The 23,109-nt window shown below is 44.3% G+C and overlaps 1 protein-coding gene across 5 annotated transcripts, besides 2 other annotated features; it reads left to right on the plus strand.

The window, feature by feature from the left end:
• Nucleotides 1,142-1,821: an enhancer, noted in NCBI's record as "H3K4me1 hESC enhancer chr11:111410548-111411227 (GRCh37/hg19 assembly coordinates)". NCBI's record gives its function as "activates a minimal SCP1, AML or CMV promoter by ChIP-STARR-seq in naive H9 embryonic stem cells {active_cell/tissue: H9 hESC(naive)}" and the evidence as "EXISTENCE:reporter gene assay evidence [ECO:0000049][PMID:30033119]".
• Nucleotides 1,599-23,064, plus strand: LAYN (layilin). 5 transcript variants are annotated; one of them, NM_001258390.2, is made up of 8 exons: nucleotides 2,039-2,247; nucleotides 2,881-2,904; nucleotides 5,242-5,539; nucleotides 10,937-11,094; nucleotides 15,880-15,912; nucleotides 16,526-16,609; nucleotides 18,860-18,962; nucleotides 21,414-23,064. In NM_001258390.2, exons 1-8 carry the CDS (start codon nucleotides 2,163-2,165, stop codon nucleotides 21,775-21,777), a joined length of 1,149 nt encoding a protein of 382 aa, NP_001245319.1. In that variant the 5' UTR covers nucleotides 2,039-2,162; the 3' UTR covers nucleotides 21,778-23,064. The 5 variants fall into 5 exon arrangements, with proteins under 5 accessions (NP_001305728.1, NP_001245319.1, NP_849156.1 ...); NM_001318799.1 differs by lacking the exons at nucleotides 2,039-2,247; nucleotides 2,881-2,904 and adding an exon at nucleotides 1,599-1,653; NM_178834.5 differs by lacking the exon at nucleotides 2,881-2,904.
• Nucleotides 15,532-16,731: an enhancer, noted in NCBI's record as "MED14-independent group 3 enhancer chr11:111424938-111426137 (GRCh37/hg19 assembly coordinates)". NCBI's record gives its function as "activates an origin of replication core promoter dependent on BRD2, BRD4, P300/CBP and CDK7 cofactors, and independent of MED14, by STARR-seq in HCT116 cells {active_cell/tissue: HCT116}" and the evidence as "EXISTENCE:reporter gene assay evidence [ECO:0000049][PMID:35650434]".
• Nucleotides 23,065-23,109: the final 45 nt, after the last annotated feature.

Raw genomic sequence — 23,109 nt, forward strand, 5'->3', positions numbered from 1 at the left:
ACCTAGGCTTAGCCAGAGAGCTCTGCTTCAAGCTACAGCACCTAGAGCAGCTCTGTCTCTTACTGCAAGTTTGTCAATTGCCTGAGGTAGCTCTGCTCCATTTGTCATCCTCTTAGGGATACACATAGACCAGTGGGATATCTAAGGTATGTTCCTCTCAGAGAGTGGCAGAGAAGAAAAAGAAATATGAGGCCTTTCTGGTCTAAGCTCAGAACTGACTCATTCTGTTAGCCAAACAAGTCAATCACATGGTCAAACACAAAGTCAAGGTGTGGGGAAATATACTCTGCCTCTTTAGAAAGAGAAACTACAAAGTCATATGGTAAAGGATATGGGTACAGGGAGGTGTGGAGAATTGGGGCCGTTATTGTAATCTACCAGGTTTGGTTGACTGTATACCCTAACAAAATCCATCTGAACCAAGGTCCAGGGTATCAAAGCGAGAAGTCGGGACACGATTTAATTATGTAACAGCTTTTTAAAGTTGTAGCAGATGTTATAATATTAGAAATAAATCCTTTTCAATTGACATTAAGTGCCTAGATATCTGAACATTTACATATATATTTGCCTTATCAAACACTCACTAAACTCTTAAGGCAACTGTTAATGTTACCAACAGTTAAGTGAAACTTAGGCAAACGGAATTGCCAAAGGCCACACAGACATTAAATGAAGAGCAGAATCTGAAACAGACCCTCAAATGCCAACTCCAGTGCTTCTTTTCACCATAACAGTTCTCTCAAGTTGTTTTGATAACCAAGAATTTCTAAGAAGAAAGTGTGTTAGATGTGACATTGACGTATTCTAACTGGGACAGAAGGAAGGTCTATAAATGATCTTGCCATAAAGGTCAGGCCTCATCCTGCCACAACCGCTGTTAGCTGTTACGTGCCGCAGCAGAGCTCCCCCATAGTCTCAGCTGATACTGAAATTCATCCCACTCCCCTCTCACCCCCAGCCTGTATTCAGGCTGTTTGTTTAGAATTGCAGTGGCTAGAGGCCTTAGAAGCATCACTGCTTTCTTGGCTGTTTTGAAAAGCAGAAAGAGTACGTAAGAAGCAGCAAGCTGGAACCAAAATCCAGAGGTCGTGGCCCAGATGGGGCTTCTGCTATGCTTCACAGCAGCATGGTGTGGCAGAAAAGGCAGAAAGTCAGATTCACCTTCTGCTACTTAGTGCCTTAATCTTTGGACAGATGGCTCACTCTATTGCTTGACTATATTTAAAAGCATTTTGTTTACGAAACCAAAGTGAAACACACCTACTTTGGGAGTTTACAAGAGGAAGCACACATTGAGGGCTAGGTTAGGAAAGCTTTTCCTGAGATAATAGTTTCATTCTTTCCTGCGGGGCGAGGGGCCAAAGCTGAACTCCCTAACTATGACCCCCACCTCCCAACCTGTTCCCTGCAAAAAACAGAATCATTTCCTTCCAGGGATCTGGGACATCTTTTGGCTTCTGGTAGAAGCCGCTTTCCTTTCAGTCGGGAGGGCTCCAACTCAGCCAAGTTCTTTGGATGCCATCCGCGCGGTGTCCCATAACTTTCCTGGCCGGTGGGCACACTGCCTGCGTGAGTGTTTGTTCTCTGCATCGACCATTCCCTGCTCAGGCGTCGCCCTTCGTGCTGGGACTGCGGCCTGCTGAGCCCCAGGTAGGAGTCCACGCATCGCCTCTCTCTCCAGGTGCACCCGCACAGCTGGCGAACTTGGCTAAGGTCAGCGGGAGAGGAGGGGTGAGATGTGGTGCTAGTTTTAGGCACACTGTGCTCGTTATCAGATTGCCTAGGGGCCCGACTGAAGTATTCCTCCGCCCAGCGCCTCGGGCAAACGCGGGATCTCCCAGGGAAGCTCGGAGGGGGACAGGGAGCTGGTTCCCCTCTGCGACTCGCCCCTCTCTGGCTGGCCGAGTGTCTGGCGCCAACCTCGCTGGAGGAGGCTGTCGGGGGCGGGCCAGCCAGCGGGGCTGCCCTCCTCGCAGTGACGTCCCAGGGGGCGGAGGGGCGACCGACTGACTCCGCGCCCTCCCCCCCGCCTCCCGTGCGGTCCGTCGGTGGCCTAGAGATGCTGCTGCCGCGGTTGCAGTTGTCGCGCACGCCTCTGCCCGCCAGCCCGCTCCACCGCCGTAGCGCCCGAGTGTCGGGGGGCGCACCCGAGTCGGGCCATGAGGCCGGGAACCGCGCTACAGGCCGTGCTGCTGGCCGTGCTGCTGGTGGGGCTGCGGGCCGCGACGGGTCGCCTGCTGAGTGGTGAGTGCGCGCGCTGGGGCGGGGGCTGGTGCCGGGGTGGGCTCACTGCACCCCAGCTGCTGCTGACCCTCTTCTGGGTCGCCACGTATGGGACTAGAAGGCCGTCCCATGCCCCACTCCCAGACGCAGCCCTTCGGAGTCTCTTGCGTTCTGGGGGCAGTCGCACGGCGTCTGAGACCCACGCCAGTTCCCGGAGCTGCGCAGTTCCCTGCGCGTCCTGGAACGCTCGAAGCCCGTTCCCAGTCCAGAGTTATGGGGGTGGGTTGGAGAATGTAGGAGAGGTGGGGCAGTGGGCAAACCTGCCCCAGTGGGTGCCCCTTCGGCCCGCTCCTTTACACGCATCGAATCAGTCCTTGGGACCACCCCCGCGGGGCAGGCTTGCCAGCTGGCCCCCGCCTACCGCCCGCTCCGGGAGGCGGCCGCAGAGACAGCGGGGTAGGGATGCTGGATCCCCGGTGCCGTGGGAACCCTGCCTGTTACTCCTCGTCTCTTCTGCGGGGTTGGATGGCTGGGTCGAGCGCCCGGTATGAGAGCGCTTAGAGATCGGGAAAGAACTCCAGTTAGTGTGGGACGAGCCCCACCTGACTCCGGGGAATGACTCTCTGCTTCCTTCCTCCTGTTGTGTCACTGCAGCCTCGGATTTGGACCTCAGAGGAGGTAAAGTGCTCTGGCTTCTGGCTTCTTTCAGTTGTTCTGCATGTCGGGGGGAGAACATCCGTGCCCTTTTCTCAGATCCTTTTTGCGGGTGCCAACAGCTTGACCAAACGGGACAGAGGAGACTGGGAACCTCCTCTACTCTGGCATCCTGGCTTGCGAAACTAATTTAAAGAATGTAAAGTTGGTTTCAGGATGGGGGCGGGGCGGCAAAAGAGGTGGGAAGCTGAATTGAGCTGCTTGGGTTAGGGCTGCGTGGGCTCTGTCCTTGGTCGCGGGGAACAGAAGGCCCTCCCACCCTTCGCCTTCCTGCAAATGAGAAGAGAAGGACACTTCCTGAAGGCAGGAGAACCAGATAGGCCCGCGGGCCTCCTTCCAGCTCTGACGGTCTCTGGCACTCACCCGCAGACTTCGGATGTGTGGCCAGGCTGGACCATACAGGAAACTCGCTTAAGGTGTTATGTTTCCCTTGACAATCCAACATGGAAAGTGGGGGTTGTCAGGAAATTCAACTCCAGCTTATGTTATGCCGGTGGCCAGGTTGGATAAGTTCCTGGGGGCTCATTTGCCCCTCCTCTGCTGCCCAATTTGGAGCCAGCTTTGAGGAATCGCAAAAGCGTGGCTGGCCCAGCCCCCTTCCCGGGGGTATCCCTGCCTCAGCCTCTCTGAATACCTTCTTGCAAGCAGGTCTGGCTTTTGAACCCTCCTAATGTGCTGCTGGACCAGTCTAATTAGAGTTTCTCTATTATCAGCAATAGCCAAATAATGACAGGAAAAGGGAGAAGATGTGGAACTCTTATAACTTGTTGCTCATTGAGAATTCCTTTATGAAAGTGATGAGAGAAGAAATAGAAAATGAAGACTCACTGGAGCTTTCTGGATAATCTGTATGTGCTCTTTCTCATTTAGCACTAATCATATAGTTCTATCTGTCTGTGGCCCCTTGCCCTATATGCTGGCCAGTGTTGGGAATTAATGAATGCTATCTGGCTCCCTGCGCAGCTGTAAAACAAGTTGGGAAAACAAGAACATTCCAGAAGTTCTGGGAGGAGGTTCCCAAACCAAAATATTTTACCCCCGGCACTGTGGCAGCAGTTCGCACCCACAGCCCACAATTTGGCTTTCTCTTTGCAGGGGGACTACTCCCCGTGTTGATACGTGGTTTTCACTTTGAACATTTGAATCCGGAAACATATGCTGTGTGCTCCTGTGGGTTAGGAAGTAGCTTTTGTTCCTGTATTCCCAGCACCTCGCACAGTGCCAGGCACAAAGTGTACACTCAATAAATGTTGATTGAATGAAAGGAGTGATGAGGCTAGTGTCTCCATTGCAGCAAGGCTTCAGTCACACAGACGCAAGCTAGAGCAGTGTGTACTGTGAGCGATTTGTTATTGGCTCCTCAGTAAAATCCCATCTGTTTGTCTGAGATGATCTTCAGCCCTTCAGGGGACAGACTGATAAGACACATTACATAGGCTCCCAGTAAAACATGAGCCTGGGGTGCAGCGGGGAGCTAGCAATTTAGTTCACTGGTACCAGCATGATTTTGTAATTAGATCTGGGCTCTAACTCCGGTGATGCTGATGATCACTGTGTGATCTTGGCCAAATTACTTAACTTCCCTGAGCTCCAGTTTTCTCATTTGTAAAATAAGCCATAAACAGTATCTGCATCAGGGGACTATTATGAGGGTTACATGAGATAAAGTATGTAAGTAAATGTTAAGCCCTTACCATAGTTTATGGCACATAGTAGGAGTTCAGTAAACCTTAACTGTTGTCTTTAGGTCAGAGGGCTGACTGTCAGTAGCAGAAAACCCCGTGGATCTGATGCTTTTAGCTTCTGCTTACACCAGAGACTGGGCAAATTCTCAGTCCTGCTGCACAGGCAGAGGGTTCCAGAATAGAGGAGCCCATGCCTGACTTCAGGAAGCCTCTCTTACCTTAAAGAACCACCAGAGACACCCCCTTTAAGCCACATTATCCCCTGAGACTCCCTAATGAAAGTGTTATTTGTGTGCCTTTCAGTGAAACCATAAATCTTCATCTACTTCTCTTCTAAAGGACAGTCAAAATAAAACATTTGCTTTTTAAGATTCTGTAATGGAACAAACAAAACATGATGTCCCTACACAATATAGGCATCAGAGTTTAAATCACTACATCTCCATGCTGGAAGGAGTATTAATTTGCTCTGAGAACCCCAACTGACATGATAACAGTCTACTGATGTGTAACCAAAATTCCTACCCAGGGATACCTTCCTTTGGATGCCTCCACGTATCCCTGCCCCGGTATACTTTTTGAGACACTGAAATAGATTGGCTTCTTTTTTCTCTAGGGCAGCCAGTCTGCCGGGGAGGGACACAGAGGCCTTGTTATAAAGTCATTTACTTCCATGATACTTCTCGAAGACTGAACTTTGAGGAAGCCAAAGAAGCCTGCAGGAGGGATGGAGGCCAGCTAGTCAGCATCGAGTCTGAAGATGAACAGAAACTGATAGAAAAGTTCATTGAAAACCTCTTGCCATCTGATGGTGACTTCTGGATTGGGCTCAGGAGGCGTGAGGAGAAACAAAGCAATAGCACAGCCTGCCAGGACCTTTATGCTTGGACTGATGGCAGCATATCACAATTTAGGTAAGTGTGTGGAACCCACAGCTGCTGACTCACTTGACATAACTCAAAAAAGAGGCAGGCTGGATCCACAGTGCCAGATCAGTGGGGAAGAGAAGACCAACCAGGCAGATCTCTGAAGGGAAAGTAGCACCAGAATAGCTGCTGACCTAAGCAGTGCAGGTGGTGAACTTAGCCTTGATTTGGGCCCAACTGATGTCCAAGGAACTCTGTTCAGGTGAGTGCAGCCCAGCAGCCTTGTTTCAACAGCATATAATGCTTGAAGCCAGTTGTTCTGGCTCTCTGGCCTTTTGGACCAGAACCTCATGGAGAGACTGAAGATCCAAAGGGCTATGACTCAGGGTAGGACTCCAGTCCACAGGGAATTGTAATAATGGGCAAGAAATCAGAGCCAAGATCTAACTCTGTGGATTGGCCAAAAGTGGGGACCTCAGGAAGCCTGCAGTGTATAGGGCCCTGCTAAACCCACAGCATCAAGACTCACTCATCCCCTACCCTGGAAACATGACATTGCCATCATCCCTCCCTAAGAAATGCAATGACATAGACAAACATTTAAAAAATATCAAAATTAAAAGACAGACATGAGACTAGGAGAATGCGTGTAACAGATCCAACAAAGAGTTAATATCTTTTTATGATAAAGAGTTTATATGTCAATAAAATACTAAGACCCCAAAATATAAAGAGACAAAAGACCTGAGCAGACCGTTTATAAAATAAAAAATCTAATGGTAAACAATCATATGGGGAAAGGTCTAAACTCATCAAAAGAATGAAGATTTTAAAATATATTCTTTAACATATACCTACTATGTACCCCCCCAAAATTTAACAAATATATATATATATATATATTTTTTACCTATTACATTTAAGGCAGCACATCAGCATCTATCTTAGTCCACCCATTACACTGATCAGGTGCACATCTTCATATAAGTTCTGGGAGTAGCTCCTCCAGGATTCTCATGAGCCTGTCTTCCTGGGAGAAACTTTAGAAAGGAGGGTTAGTAGGATGAACTACACTTCCTATCAGTGCAGCTGGTCCCAAGGCCACAGATGGTACTTATTGACTTCCCTACTCTATTAGCCAGTCCAGATTCCCTTACCGTCTGCTGGTCTCAACGGTTGACCTTGTGGCATGATCCACATCCTCATATCTGAAGAATCTGGGGTCCTAGTTGCCTTGCCCTTATCATGCTAGAGTTAGTGCACTTTTCTATTGACCATCAAAATTGGGCAAGCAAATTCCAAGAGGTACCCAAATAGATAACTCCTTGCCCATAATACATAACAGCAGGCCTATCTCCTCCCGATGGTTAGGGCCACTTTCCTCCTGCCAAAACAATGTCTTCTCTTTTTCTCTGCTGGTCCCTGGACACAAAGATTCCAGAGTGTCCAAATGACAGTGATAACTCATCGTTTAGTAAGATTCTTGTATCTTCTGACAGTCCCCTGTGGGAACCAGGACCTCTAAACTTCCAGATCCCAGTGTTGCAGAGACAAGAAGCACAAATTCCTACGTGGGTCACTGCCAGCGATTCTAAAATGAGGCTACTCCTGCTTCCACCCCTCAGCTCCCAAACCCATGTATTCTTATTCTTGGAAACACAGGACTGTATAAAGGGCACGTGAGTTATTGCCTTTTTCAGAAGTCCCATGTAATCAACTTGCCACCAAGTGCTATGTTGGTGTCCTCAAGTGTTGGTGCTGTGTCAAAGACTTAGCATTGGTTTCTGTTGCTGGAAGTTGAACATTCGGCAGTAGCAATAGCTAGATTAGCCCTAGTGAATGAGAGCCAATCTGTTGAGGCCATCCATAGCCTTCATCTCTGCCACTACCTATTAGTATCTATTGTACTAGCACTGGGGTGGCTAATAACAGGCTGGCTGGCATTACCTAGCTGAGTTATTTTGTCTCCCTGCTTGTTCAGTGCCTCTTCTAAGTAGATGTTTCCTGGTGGTCTTTAATATCTGATGAAAAGAGTTGCATATTTTATGTTCACTCTTCTATGTATAGTCACATCCCTCTATCCAAAACCTCCTAGTCCACAATCTTCCAGTCTATTTCCATTTAGACTCTTGATCAGCTGGGCATGCTATTTACCTTACCCCTAGTTCTTATATAATCTAATCTCCAATAATTTCCCTTTCCTTACAAAGTGGTTAACTAGATGTACCAACTAAAGCTCTGGCCATTGGGAAGATGTTCCCTTACTGGTCTCTTTCAAGGCCACCTCAGTGAAACTGCAGTGCAGCTGCTGTCCATTTCACTGTGTACTCCCATACTTAGCTGACCTACCCTTGAACCAGGCTCAGGCTGCCTGTATCAGCTAGTCACAAGGGATTCCTCCATGCAGTCACAGATGTGAGCTAAGGAAGAGGCTCTGGTCCAGCAGTGGCAGATGTCATGGAAGTCTGCTTTACCTGCTTATGCAGTGCTCTTTGGTCCTGGATGTACCTCTTCCATCTTACAACGGATCTATTCCAAGCTTGCCTAATCTCCGATTAGGTGTGTCTGACAGTTCCTTGCTCATGATGGGCAGGTTGTGCTTCATGGTCTCTGGTGCTCCTTGCCTAGTAGCCAGCCAGGAATTGTTTCTCAAAAGGTGACTAATTTTCAGCTACAGATGGTATGGCCTTGCTTCAAAATCCTATGGGTCTGCATGTGATTCTGTCATTGAGGCTTGTCACAAACTCTGTATGGCATAATTTTTCCCACCACTGACATCTCTAATAATAGGAGCTGCTGCATCATATGGCCCAAGTGGCAAATCTGCTTGCACACAGCCTAGATCCACTTCAGAGTTCTTTTCTGCTGTGACTCCTACTCAAAATGGCTGTATTCCATGTCACCTGGTTTATGGGCCAGAGCAATATTCCCAGGTGTGAAATATGCTGCCTCTAGAGCCCAAAGAGACCTACCATGTGCTATGCTTCATTCTTCAAATTACTGCAAGATGCAATAGTTTGTTCTTCAATTTGAAAGGGATGTTCTGGTATTCCCTAGATCACTAGACACCCACACATTTTATTGAAGTGGTAGGCTCCTGAATCTTCATAAGATTTATCTCCAACCCTCTGGAGTACATAAGTCTTACCAAGGCATCCAGTGTACTAACCACTTCTTGCTCATCTGTTCCAATTAGCATGATGTCAGCCATATAGTAGGTCAGTGTGATTTTCTGCAAGATGTCTAGGAAATCCAGATCTCTTTACACCATATTATGACAGAGGACGGTAAAAATTAATATAGCCTTGAGTCAAGACCATAAGTATATACTGTTGTCCATCCCAACAAACTGTTTCAGATTATCTTTCTGATACAGAAGGAAAAGAATGTGTTCACCGGATCTGCATACTAGGTACCCAAGGGCATGTTAACCTGCTTTAGCAAAGACACCACATATGGCACAGGCAGCCACAATCAGGCTTCCACTTGGTTGAGTTTGTGCTACTCTATTATCACCTTCAGGATCTGCCTGGTGTTTTCAGGAGTCAAGACTAGTGAATTAACTAGAGATGCAATGGGGAACACCACTCTTGGATTCTTTGGGTCTTTAAGGGTGACACTACTTCCTGCCATCTTTCCCTGGATAAGATATTGTTGTTGATTTATTATCATGGCAGGGGTGGGGAGGAGTGCAGTTTCAAAGGCTTCCCCACTTGACATTCTCCACCGTGATAGCTCTTGCCCCACAGGTAAGTAGACCAAGAGACGACGCAGCTCAACCTGCCCATCATAGGCCAAGGAACCAATGTGGAACTGTACCAACTAAAAATATGTCTGTTCAATTCATATATTTGGGGACTGGGGAATGATGACTGGCTGGGTGCCACTATGAGCTGATCCTGGGCCAGACCTCTACTTAATACCTGTCCCCAGTATGCTCCCATTCTAATGGGTAGCTTTGATGACACTTTAAGTCTGAGTATTAATGTCAACTTGCACCCTGTGTCCAACAGCCCTTGTAATATTTGGATATTCCCTCTTCCCCGCTGTATGGTTACTGGAGGAAATAGCCATGGATCCCTTTAGGGAAAAACGGGAAGTTATTACCATGTGCACCTGCCGTGGTGTTGCAAGGTCCTTCTTACTGGAAACCTGGCCTCTCTATCAGTGAGTTCTGGGTCTGAAAATTGGCTCAAGTACAGAAATTATACACCAGACATAATATTCAACCTATAAGACAAAATAATGTAAAGCCATAAGGCCAGTGGGGAGGGGAACAAGGCAAGTCAGGGTAGGAGGCCCAACAGGGCTGGAATCTGGACTGGAGATAACTAATGAGGTGCCCCCAGCTGTCCAGTCATAGTATCCAAGGAGTGTTTATTGTAAGCTAAGCTATTTTCCAGGAAATTCAATCCAGTGAGTGCAGCAAAGGATGTTCCTTTTAGTAGACAACAATACAGGACTTAAGCAGAGCCTTACTGTGGCGCTACAGGGAGAGCTGTCTCTTGCTGTCTCTTTCCTGAAGAGGGCTCTGACAAGAGCTAAGCAGAGCAGCATTGCCTGCTCTGAGCATCAGAGCAAGATCTGAGCCCTAGAAGGAAACAGCTCAGGCAACTAACCAGGGAGGTTACAAAGCCCAGCCCTGAGTCAGCACATGGGGTGGGTACTCACAGATGTAAACGCTCCATAAGATCCAAGGCTTTAACCTGGCACCCACATATCCAACTGGGTGGCAGCACCATTTAGTTTCAAGTGCCACTGGATAGTAGTGTAAGGTTGCTAATGCACCCCTCTAGGGGGCTAGGGAGACAAAGACAAGACATCTGGAGGTAGAGGCTGAGGGGCTCATCAGCCTTATCAAGTGGAAACAACTTAAAAACTGAAAAAGACCAAATGGTCCTCCTGCTTTTGTCCCCACCCTTTCACCTGTTTTGACAGCCTCTATGTTTGGAATGTCTTGCTCATGTGCTTGAATTTCTTATCTACTTCCCAGGGCTGAAAAGGCAGTTGGTGGCTGTTGAAAATCATGGAGAGATGAGAGCAGGGCAAGCTCTGGATGAGATAAGCCATGTCTCTTCTCAGTGCATCTGAGATCTAAAAAAAGACAAACAAACCCAATTAGCAAAAAGCAAGAAAGAAATAAGATCGTCCAGACTAGCCCTGCTGGCTGCTTTTTCTCATAATTACTTTACAGACATCATATGGTGGCATGTTCCTCCCTGCAAAGAGATTGTGGCAAATGTCAGATGATTGATTGTGATGTCCATATGAGAATGCGTGTGGTTCTGCTTACTGGCAGTACTTCAATTCCTACCTCTCTCTGTATCATGTTCTGAGGCAGAATCTTATGTTTATGGCTCAGTGAGACTTGACGGGAAAACAAAGGCTTTGAAGTCTCAGGGGATCCTTCTCCAGTTGCCTCTACTGCTGATCCCTTCCCTACAGGAACTGGTATGTGGATGAGCCATCCTGCGGCAGCGAGGTCTGCGTGGTCATGTACCATCAGCCATCGGCACCCGCTGGCATCGGAGGCCCCTACATGTTCCAGTGGAATGATGACCGGTGCAACATGAAGAACAATTTCATTTGCAAATATTCTGATGGTAATGAATCCTCTCCCAAGCTATGCGGCTGAATTCTCAACTTCTCTCATTTCATGAGCTGCTGCTAGTACCAAGAATTTGTCATGTGGTCTCTGAGAAAGCTTGTTGCAAATGCCAGCAACATAAAACCTTAAGAATTCTTGTAAAGGGCAATGTAATGACAATTCCTCACCGAGGAGTAATCCTAGCAAAGGAAAGGTTATCAGATGTTAAGAGAAGGGATGAGAAAAAGAAAAGGTCTAATTTATGTGTGATAAAGCAAGTCTTACAAGAACGTCAGGAAATAAGCCCTTTAAGTGGACAGCCACAAATTATTACTCTTTCCACATGTGAGGTTGGCTGTAGGGGCTTAGAATAAGCTGGCCATTGCTCCTACAAGTCTTCTAACAGCCCAGTGAGATTATTTTCTGGGGTTTTAAGGAAGCACGATACATATGTAAATGATAAAGTACACCAACTGCACTTTCACTGGGCAGAGATAGCAGGTAATTTGATGAGCAGATTTAAACTCTCAGACCACCCTGTATTTAATGCCTTGCAAATTCAACTTACGTTTGCTTCCAGATCTGTTAGGGTTTTGAACTGGCTACAAGCTTGTAGTTTTGCTATACTTGGGTTTCCCAGACTTCTCCATTATAACTGACAGATTTGAATTTGAACTGATTCTTAATCTGCCCTTGAAGTTTCTCACTTCCCTAAAGCCAACTGCTTAGCCCCAATTCTGCATTCTTTCTTGATAGGAGTAGAGTGACTTGTTAGTTATATCTAGTTTGGGACTAAGTAATCCTGTCATTTTAAAATTGTTTGAACTGGACTATGGTTTGGTGGCAATTTTTGCTGCTAAAAGATGTTTTTCTCTCTCTTTGTCCTCTCGGATGAATTCTTCTCTCCAGTGACCTGGCCCTCCCCACCATACAGCGTTGTCTCAGGCGGGGAGATTGCAAAGACCTAGACTGACTTAGCAAGTCACCTTTATGAAGCAGTGAAAGCAAGGCACTTGTTACATACTGGCTTTCCATCACTTTTGTTAATTATATTCTATTATTAATAGCTCCATGGTTTAAATTTTTGCACTTCCTTTAACAGTTTTTGAAATGTGAGGTTTTGAAATTTGCTTTAATATCCTTTTATTTTGGACTTGGCACCTTCTTAGAAAAAATCATATTCTTCATTACTTTTGTTATTGCCTATATTAGTCACACTAAGTCCTGGCAAGAAAAAGATGGCACACACAAAGGGTTTAATGAGGAAAGTGTAATAAAAGGGACATTTGCTGAGGTGTAGGCCAAGAGCAAGAGATGGTAAAATATCCAGGGACTAGCTACAATGGGGAACTGTTATGTCCAGGCCTGAAGGAATAAAAGGAGGGAATGGTTTTAGCAGAACCCGGGAAAAGCTTGGGGTCATGAAAGAGGACCCGCCCAACAGGAGCTATTACCACAAAATGCAGCTACTATCAAACCATGCTGACGTGGGATGGGGGCATGGGGAATAAATACTGAGACTTCTCTTTCCTTCTATCCTCTGACCTTCTGCCTTTGCCTCTCATTGGCTAAGTCCAATCAGAGACCAAAGAACAAGGGAACAAGGAAGCCCCATTGAAACAGTTTATAGACCTCAACCTCCCAAGGCACAGAGGACAGAGAATGGATCCAACAGAGGGAGGTGGGCACATGGAGAAAAACTAACACACTGCCTGTTTTTGGCCACCCATGCCCAGAATAGTTTACACACCTTAGCATGCCAGAAGAGGATCGGCACAACCAGACCCTTGCCGACCTGTCCAGCTCAATTCTCACCACTTTAACTCCTCTCCTCATCCTATTCCAACACCTTTGTACCAAATGGAATTTCCCAAGAGCTCTTAATTTCTGTTTCCTGTGCTTGAAACACCCCTTTCCCAGCCAACTCATTCTCACCCTTTGGCTTCAGATTAGACAACACCTTCTCTCCTAACAGCTAAGTGCAACCAGTGATCCTGGGTTGGATCCTGAACATGATGTGATGATTTCCTATAAATGGCATTATTAGGAAAATCGGTAGAATCTGAATAAGATCAGTAGATTAGAAAATAGTATTGCATCAATGTTAATTTCTTGCTTTTGATCATTGTACTGTGGTTATACATGAAAAGGCCCCTTTCCCTTTGTAAATATGGACAAAAATCTTTAGGAGTAAAGGGGCACCATGCTGGCAACTTGTTTGCAGGAAAAATGTTATGTATGTGTATGTGTGTGTGTATATATATATATATATATGCATGTATGCACACACACATAAACGTGTGTATGTGATACAAAGATAGAGGAGAGATAAGAAAGAGGGAGAATAATTAAGTAAATGAAATGTGATGAAATGATAAGGTGAAGGATATGGGATAATTCTTTGTACCATTCTTGCAAATTTTCATAAATCTGAAATATTTCAAAATAAGAAGTTAAAAAAATAACTTCCTTTGGAAAGCCTTCCAGAGCCCCTCAAAGCTAGGTTTGGTGTCTCTCCTATAAGGATCGTAGCACCTCACCCACACAGTACTTTAACTACCTATTTATAAGGCTGTCCCCTTCACTACATGATTGGCATGAAGTCTGGAAACTTACCTGTTTAACCACTTGATGGGCTGGGGAAGCTCACTCCTGTGGTTCCAGCAGGAGGGCGCATCATCCCATTATGTCAGAGTGGCAAGGAACTGGGTGAATGATAATATGTAAAACTAGATTTGAGAAAATAATCATGTAGAGTAGGCAGCATGCTAGCCATAGCTGAACACTTGCTTACTTCTGGGGTGTGCTAAAGGCACAGGCATATTCAGTGAATATCAGAAACAAATCATGAGGCAACACAGATGCACGTGCAGGGATTGATGGAAATGCTGCAATGATGTGCCGTTTTTAACTTTGCACCGTGGATTGAAGTATGGAGGGACAACAGTATGAATAGATCATGTGTTGAACAGATCATGTTATTACGTATTCCAGTGTAATATCACAAAATCAATGTTCATTAATATTTTCCTGTATTTCCAGATTTTATGGCTATCCTGTAGAATATAAGCTTCTTAGAGGGCTGAGATTCTTTCTTGTTTGCTGTTTTATCTCCGCTACCTAGCACAGTTATGTCTCCTTACTATTTTAATTTTCGTTAGAATGTGTTTGGTTGAAATTCCTTTACAGCTACTTATCAGCTGTGAGATTTGGGCAAGTTACTTAATCTCCCCGAATCTTGGTTTCCTCATGTACAAAACCAGAATAATAATAAGGCCACCTCCCATCCTGGCTAACACTGTGAAACCCCGTCTCTACTAAAAAATACAAAAAATTAACCGGGCATGGTGGTGGGCACCTGTAATCCCAGCTACTCAGGAGGCTGAGGCAGGAGAATGGCAGGAACCCAGGAGGCAGAGCTTGCAGTGAGCCGAGATCGCGCCACTGGACTCTAGCCTGGGCGACAGACTGAGACTCCATCTCAAAAATAAATAAATAAATAAATAAACAACAATAATAATAAGGCTGTTATCAGGATTAATTGAGTTTGATTTTATAAAACACTTAGAACAGCCCAGGCACAGTGGCTCACGCCTGTAATCCCAGCATTTTGGGAAGCTGAAGCTGGTGGATCACTTGAGGTCAGGAGTTTGAGACCAGCCTGACCAACGTGGTGAAACCCCATCTCTACTAAAAATAAAAGTACAAAATTAGCCAGGCATGGTGGCGCATGCCTATAATCCCAGCTACTTCGGAGGCTGAGGCAGGAGAATCGCTTGAACCCGGGAGGCGGAGGTTGCAGTGAGCCAAGATTGTGCCTCTGAACTCCAGCCTGGGTGACAGAGCAAGACTCTCTCACATAAAAAAAAAAAAAAACAACACTTAGAACAGTTTCTCTCATATAGTAGACATTGTATAACTGGGTTTTTTTAAATAAATGGATTTACATCACCTATACACACACACACACACACACACACACACACACACACACTTATGGGAAGATGACTAAAAGTTTTTGTCCTTTCTGAGTGAAACTTCAGAATGGGCTTGACATCCTGGCCTTAAGACTGTGATTTTTAAGGTCTTTCCCTTAAAGACCCTGTCCCTACGAACACCAGAGCATCTGATTGGCATAAGAGACTCATTGCCAATACAACAGGTGGACACACTCCCAGTCAAAAGCAAAAACATTTGATGTCAATTATCTGTACAACCTGATATTCTCAAGACACTTTGAAATATGTACAAAAGCTCAGAGCTCTAGATCACCAGCCTCTGCCTTGGTGCTGGCCAGTGGTCTACTGAGCCCCTAAACCACTTTCACTACTTGGAGATCAGTGTTTGTTGCCCTCTAAAACATCCCCATTATGAACTGAAAAAATGTCTTAGACTGCTTTAAAATAATCCAGGCCAGGAGTGCAGGGGAGAGGAGTAGGGATTATTGTTGAAACTAGATGAGCTGTACATTGATAGGAGTTGAAGCTGCATGACGATACACAGGGTACATTATACCAGTTTTTCTACTTTTTTGTATATTTGGAAATTATCATATTTAAACGTTTTTAAATACTTTTTTAAAAACAAAAAAGCACCAAAATAAAGCTGGGGAAGGTTAGTCTTTGTGCAAAAGCAATTATTTTGATTTACTAGCCCAGTTCCTGATATCTGATAACAACAAATAAAGTTTATCGGAGGAATGAATCAGCAAATAAATGGATGCCATGAGGCTGTGGTTGATTTCATTCAGATGCCATAAAAACTTACTACTTATTTTTGTTTTTGTTTCTTTCTACTACAGAGAAACCAGCAGTTCCTTCTAGAGAAGCTGAAGGTAAGCCTGTTACTTGAGATTTGGGTTAACTGGGGCTGTTTCATAGCCCCTCTTCACAGGTTTAAAGCCCTATGTCCTTTGGACTGGATTATTCAACAGAAAAACTAGTGGTATTAACTCAGGCATTTGGGACAGGTATACACCACACCCAGCCATGACAGCTAGTTTAGTCATCTCATTTTCTAGTGTTCTCACAGCTGAAAAGCAACAGTTACAAATTTTGTTTGGGGTGTTACTTGTCATCATTGACAATATCAAAGGAATAATTTAATCTAATGAGACCAAAAAAAATGAGCCAAACTGTTAATTTATGGTCCTAGAAGTGAGTCCTTGGCCCTTCCCCTTGACACCTTGGTATTTTATGTACCTTGATGTCAGCTGCTTCTTGATTGTTTTAGTACTGGATTCTTGACAGCAAGGGTCTCACCAAAAAGACAAAGATAATTTAAACCTCTAGTGCAGCAAATTCAACCCTTTACTTTTCTACGTTTATAGATGGTGCTGGCAAAATTTCTACAGCTTTTTTGCATCCCAATTTGAACATGGTAGGACCTCAAAGAATACCTGAATTATGCCTTTCTTCAAGTTCACAAGTCCATGTGTCTCTCTCCAGGTGAGGAAACAGAGCTGACAACACCTGTACTTCCAGAAGAAACACAGGAAGAAGATGCCAAAAAAACATTTAAAGAAAGTAGAGGTATCTACAAAACTCTCCTGGGAAAGATGAATAATCAGGCTCCCTTGATTACAAATTACCCATGGTTGAATTCCCTACTTTGTTCTTTCCCACAGCTACCTAAAAATAGAACTAGACAGGGCATGTGTGGCTTTGCAAAAGCTGTACTAAATGCTAGGTTTCATCAATGAAATATGCAGATGGAACTATCCTAAGATGACTGGGGAAATCAGACAGCAGGTGAAAAATTTGCATGAAGACAGAGCCTTGGGAGCCACTCAGAGGTCATGTGGGGTAAGGTGGAGTGAGGACTGAGAGAGAAAATGTAGAGAAATAAGAGCAGAAAGACCCAAGCTGTGATGCATAACATCTATGATTAATATTCATCTGCAAAACAAAGAGAAGAAATAGACAAAAACATTTAAAATGTTAAATCATAAAAGGTAAAAGAAAATAGGATGACACATTGGAGTGCTAATGGATTTCAAACTCACTCTTGCCCTGAAGTTCAATAAGGACATCTGAGTTTTTGTCACTGGGCAACTTTTAAAAACCACTTTACTTCTCTGTGCTTCAGTTTAATTGTTTGCATAATGGAAGTAATAATATTTTTCTTGCCTACCTGAGAGCACAACTGTGTCCATAAAATGAAATAGGATATTGCAATAGTGCAGTTCAGTTCTGACACTAAATTCCAGAGTTGGCACACACTCCAGCTCATGAGCACAACTCATACCAAGACTGCCCTCACTTCAGACATTGACTGCAAGTTTAGGGGTCCCCAGGCCACCTGCATTTCTGACCAATTGGCTACAAATCCAGGAGTGCCCATGATCCCCACCTCTTAGGTTTGATAATTCACTAGAACAACCTACAGAACTCAGGAAAATAGTATATTTATGACTAGATTGATTGTATGGGATACAAATCAGGATCAGCCAAATGAAAAGACACACAGCAGGACGTCTGGGAGGAGTTTCCTTGTCATCCCCCACCCCATGGAATCAGGATGCATTAGCATCCTGGCACATCAGTGTGTTCACCAACCAGGAAGCTCCACAGAGCTTTCGTGTCCAGAGGTTTTATTGGGGGTATCAATGCATAGCAGTCTCCAAAAGAGGTCAGGCTGCTATCACTAGGCTCAAAGCCCCAACCCTATCATCACATGGTTGGTCTTTCTGGCATGGCCAGCCCCCGTCTGAATCATCTCCTTATAAACCCTCTTATGGTCTGAGGGGCTCATGAATAACAAATTCACTCCTATTACTGGGGAGAGTCCAAGGATTTAGAGCCTCTCTCCCAGGAACCAGGGACAAAGGCCCATCAGATTCTTTATTATATAACATATATGTGAAAAAAGTACAAAGTGCTCTGCAAAGGTGGGTGGCATTTCTATTGCTCATTGTTATTATGGTGGTATTTAAAGTGGGTTTTGAGGGTTTAGGGGTTTTAGTGGTGGTCAGGTTTGCAATCTCACAGAAGAAAAGCCAACAGCCTCTGGATAGTCAGGAAGCTTGGGTCAGTGGGAGTAGGAAGAGGGTTAGCCTCCAATCCTTGATTCCTCCCAAAGCCACTTGAGGGGAACATCTTTGGTTCTAAGTCTTAAAGGACTAGAAAGTTCAGAAAAGTAAGCCTCTAAGTGCTCTTCACAGTCATGGCTCATGGACCCAACTGAATCTAATTGGTCTTAGAAATGTCAGAAAGGTTTTACACTGTAATTTACTTGCTTCCTGTGACCTCTTTCCTGGTAATGACACTGAAACTTCTGGCTTGCTTCTTTTTCCCTCTCTTTCCCCCATCCCATCGTGGGAACTCCGTGACTGTCCTTGGAGGCAAAAGCATCAACACTGCCCCAGCGGCCCCTGCTTTACTAAGGGAGGACAAGAAAAGAGAGACTCTCTTTTCTCTGAAAAAAAAAACAAAAAGCTTAATTAACAAAAGTGCCCTTCTGATATTTGGAAGACCTAAAAATTTAAACTGATTTTCATTATCACTTAGGGTAATAGGACAGGTAGAAAATGCTCATCCATCGAAACCAGAAGACTCTTTGCTAACTGGCTAGATGTGTCTTGATCACTCAGGAATGAGCTCTTTGGAATACTCTGTGTTGATTAGCCTTTTCCTTTGTTTTGTTTTTTAATTTTTTAATTTTAATAGATTTGGGGGTACAAGTGGTTTTTGACGATTATGCTTTTTTTAAGCCTGGTTTGAAGCACAGAAAAACAAAACAAAAAACAGCCAATGCTGATCATGTGCTTTCTTTCTTTTCAGAAGCTGCCTTGAATCTGGCCTACATCCTAATCCCCAGCATTCCCCTTCTCCTCCTCCTTGTGGTCACCACAGTTGTATGTTGGGTTTGGATCTGTAGAAAAAGGCAAGTAAAACCTTCATTGTGTAAACCTTTGCATCTTCTGCTCTCTTTGAGATTTGGATATTGCCTTGTTTACTTCATTAAAACCCACGGCAGCACCAAGAGTATCACCATTGCAGATTGGAGAGTGGGTTCTCTGACAGGTCAGGGCATTCAGAAGTACTAGGCATTTGTGCTTAGTTGTGATTAAGAGAGTGATCTTACTTGCTTTACTGTCTGTACGTGGAAGATTTTAAAACAACTTGAAGGGTGAAATTGCATTATTCACCTCCCGTGCACTCACACGTCACCCAGCAAAAATGCTCTCATGAATGTATGCCCTCACTCTGAAAATGTTTGTGGACTGAGTGAAGGAATGAATAGTGAGCCATATGAAAAATGACTGCTGCAAAGTATTCTGGTAAACATCTGAAACTAAACCACTTAATTCAAACTGAAAGAGCCAAATTCCTTTTAACTGACTTTTCTTTTAATTCAGTACACAAGTATAGAGTGCTATAAAATAGCTACACTAGGTGGCATCAACAATTTCTGTATATGGTCAGGATCGTGTGCCACTATTTTATTTTATTTTATTTTATTTTTAGTACTGAAAGCTCTTCTCAGTTACCTTTTTATTCTCCATCATCATGGTATATGGAGAAGATGTCTAGTATTCCCATTTACAACAGGAAAACTAAGGCCCAATTTAAGATTTGACTCCCTTTAAAGACCAATTTGAGATGAATTAGTAAGATTCCAATGTAAAATCTATTTCAGTTAATTGTAACTTCCTTGTAGGATTATTATAAGGATTAAGGCAGTTAATACTTGCAGAATAAGTATATACTAAGCACTTGAATGTTACCTATTATTGGGATTATTTTATTAGTTATTTCCTTTGAATCTTAAAGTAGAATTTAGTTCAAAAAATTACAGGCATATTTTCCAGCTGCCTACTCTGCCTACTCAGTTGGTTCTTGATTTCCTTTCCTGACTCTCTGTTTTGTACTTTAACAGGATTTGGGAATTGTGACTCTAAAGCTGGGGTGTCTGTCTATCCCAAGGGTTTTTAATCTTTTTTGTGCCCTGCAGCAGTCTGGTGAGGCCTATGGACTCCTTCCAGAACAATATTTTATTTTATTTATTATTTTATTTAAAAAAATATATATATATATATATATTTGAGACAGAGTCTTTCTCTGTCGCCCAGGCTGGAGTGCAATGGCGCAATCTCGGCTCACTGCAACCTCCGCCTCCCGGGTTCAAGTGATTCTCGTGCCTCAGCCTCCCAAGTAGCCGGGATTACAGGCACATACCACCATGCCTGGCTAATTTTGTATTTTTAGTAGAGATGGGTTTCACCATGTTGGCCAGGCTGGTCTCGAACTCCTGACCTCAGGTGATCCGCCCACCTCAGCTGCCCTAAGTGCTAGGATTACAGGCATGAGCCACCACACCCGGCCCAGTACAATATTTTAAATGCATAAAATAAAATACATTGGGTTGCAAAGGAAGCAATCATACTGTTATATAGTTTAGCAAAATATTTCCAAAAATGAATATGTGATTAGTAATACATGTACTCCTTTATTAATGCTTCTTTATTTAGTGCTGGGTATAATTATTATAATTTTGAAGTAGAGATGAGGTTAAAATATTTCAAGGCATCTATAACTGTGATATGAAAACATCTATAATTTCTAGTAGTGATCAAGTCAAAGATATTAATCCTGCTGTTTTATCTCTTACATTCATAATGGAAGGACATGCTAAATTTCACTTATGGATGAGTCGTGTTTTTTGTTGTTTTGGTTTTATTTTATTTTATTTTATTATTTTATTTTATTTTATTTTATTTTTGAGACAGGGTCTCACTCTGTCGCCCAAGCTGGAGTGCAGCGGTACCATCACAGCTCACTGCGGCCTTGACCTCCCAGGTTATCCTCCCACCTCAGCCTCCCAACTAGCTGGGACTGCAGGTGTGCACCACCATGCCTGGTTAATTTTTGTATCTTTTATAGGGACGGGGTTTTAACATGTTGCCCAGGCTGGTCTCAAACTCCTGGGCTCAAGTGATCCACCTGCCTCAGCCTCCCAAAGTGTTAGGATTACAGGCGTGGGCCACTGTGCACAGCTGAGGTGTTTTTTTGTTTTTTTGGGTTTTTTTTGTAATGTGGTATTTTTTCTCTATTCAGTTCTATCCCTGGACACTCCAGGGACTCTAGGGAACCCCAGGATAATAACCCTGCCCACACTTGGGCAGCAGTGAATGACAGATACACAATCACTTTGAACATAACATCTCCCTGTTTGGTTCCCTCCCACTCCGAAGCCCTGGCCTGTAAGTTACATAGACGAGACATGCAGCTGGGTGACTGCCCAGGGCTGCTTCCTCTCGTCTCAACAGGAAGCACAAGGGTATTCTCAATCACCTGGTCTAAAACACTCAGCCCTGGTTTTCTTTCTTCCTAGAAAACGGGAGCAGCCAGACCCTAGCACAAAGAAGCAACACACCATCTGGCCCTCTCCTCACCAGGGAAACAGCCCGGACCTAGAGGTCTACAATGTCATAAGAAAACAAAGCGAAGCTGACTTAGCTGAGACCCGGCCAGACCTGAAGAATATTTCATTCCGAGTGTGTTCGGGAGAAGCCACTCCCGATGACATGTCTTGTGACTATGACAACATGGCTGTGAACCCATCAGAAAGTGGGTTTGTGACTCTGGTGAGCGTGGAGAGTGGATTTGTGACCAATGACATTTATGAGTTCTCCCCAGACCAAATGGGGAGGAGTAAGGAGTCTGGATGGGTGGAAAATGAAATATATGGTTATTAGGACATATAAAAAACTGAAACTGACAACAATGGAAAAGAAATGATAAGCAAAATCCTCTTATTTTCTATAAGGAAAATACACAGAAGGTCTATGAACAAGCTTAGATCAGGTCCTGTGGATGAGCATGTGGTCCCCACGACCTCCTGTTGGACCCCCACGTTTTGGCTGTATCCTTTATCCCAGCCAGTCATCCAGCTCGACCTTATGAGAAGGTACCTTGCCCAGGTCTGGCACATAGTAGAGTCTCAATAAATGTCACTTGGTTGGTTGTATCTAACTTTTAAGGGACAGAGCTTTACCTGGCAGTGATAAAGATGGGCTGTGGAGCTTGGAAAACCACCTCTGTTTTCCTTGCTCTATACAGCAGCACATATTATCATACAGACAGAAAATCCAGAATCTTTTCAAAGCCCACATATGGTAGCACAGGCTGGCCTGTGCATCGGCAATTCTCATATCTGTTTTTTTCAAAGAATAATAAAATCAAATAAAGAGCAGGAAACAGAGTGTTAGTCTGTGTCTACAGCCCTTCCTCTGCATGTGGCCACAGGGGACCTTTTTTTGTTTCTCCTGACATCCAGACTTGGAAATATCTAACTACTTGCAAAACTAAAAATGAGGCCAGGCGCAGTGGCTGACGCCTGTAATCCCAGAACCTTGGGAGACCAAGATTGGAGGATAGCTTGAGTTCAGGAGTTCCAGACCTTCCTGGGCAAAATAGTGAGACTCTGACTCTACAAAAAATTTAAAAATTAGCAGGGCATGGTGGCATGCGCCTGCAGTCCCAGCTACTCAGGAGGCCGAGGTGGGGGAATTGCTTGAGCCCAGGAGGTTGAGGCTGCAGTGAGCTAGGATCACGCCACTGCTCTCCTGCGTGGGCAACAGAATGAGACCCTGTCTCTAAACAAAAATATTTTTTAAAGAAACTAAAAATGAAATTTGAGTCTCAGCTTCTAGGCTTATGTACTCCCATCCCTGATACTACACGTTGTTCTGTTTGCATGTTTGTTACTGCAGCATCAACATAACATGACTAATAATGATGACAGTTCTACCTTTTGTTGACAGACCTCATTGTTTCAATTGTGTTTGGCCTCAAATTCAGAGAAAAGTTTCTCAGCCCAGCATCAATCATATACACATTGGAGGTCTGAAAGCCATTATTTAAATCACCAGCAATTTCCCTCAATCAGCTTCATAATCTCATATTTTAACCTTTCCTCATATGTCTTATTTTTTAATAGCTCAGCAACTTTGCTTCACATATGGAGCCCCAACCTCTAGAGTTAACTAGTCTGGGTCAAAGCAGTATCGAATGTAGTGGATTGGAAT

Source organism: Homo sapiens, chromosome 11 (assembly GCF_000001405.40).
Source record: "Homo sapiens chromosome 11, GRCh38.p14 Primary Assembly".
Lineage (NCBI taxonomy): Eukaryota > Metazoa > Chordata > Mammalia > Primates > Hominidae > Homo > Homo sapiens.

What these genes read in the sequence shown, in the direction of transcription:
- LAYN (NM_001258390.2), top strand. Translation starts at nt 2,163, where the DNA reads ATGAGGCCGGGAACCGCGCTACAGGCCGTGCTGCTGGCCGTGCTGCTG. An exon ending in TCCTTCTAGAGAAGCTGAAG is followed by an intron (nt 15,913 to 16,525) that starts GTAAGCCTGTTA and finishes GTCTCTCTCCAG; the next exon opens with GTGAGGAAACAGAGCTGACA. An exon ending in AACATTTAAAGAAAGTAGAG is followed by an intron (nt 16,610 to 18,859) that starts GTATCTACAAAA and finishes CTTTCTTTTCAG; the next exon opens with AAGCTGCCTTGAATCTGGCC.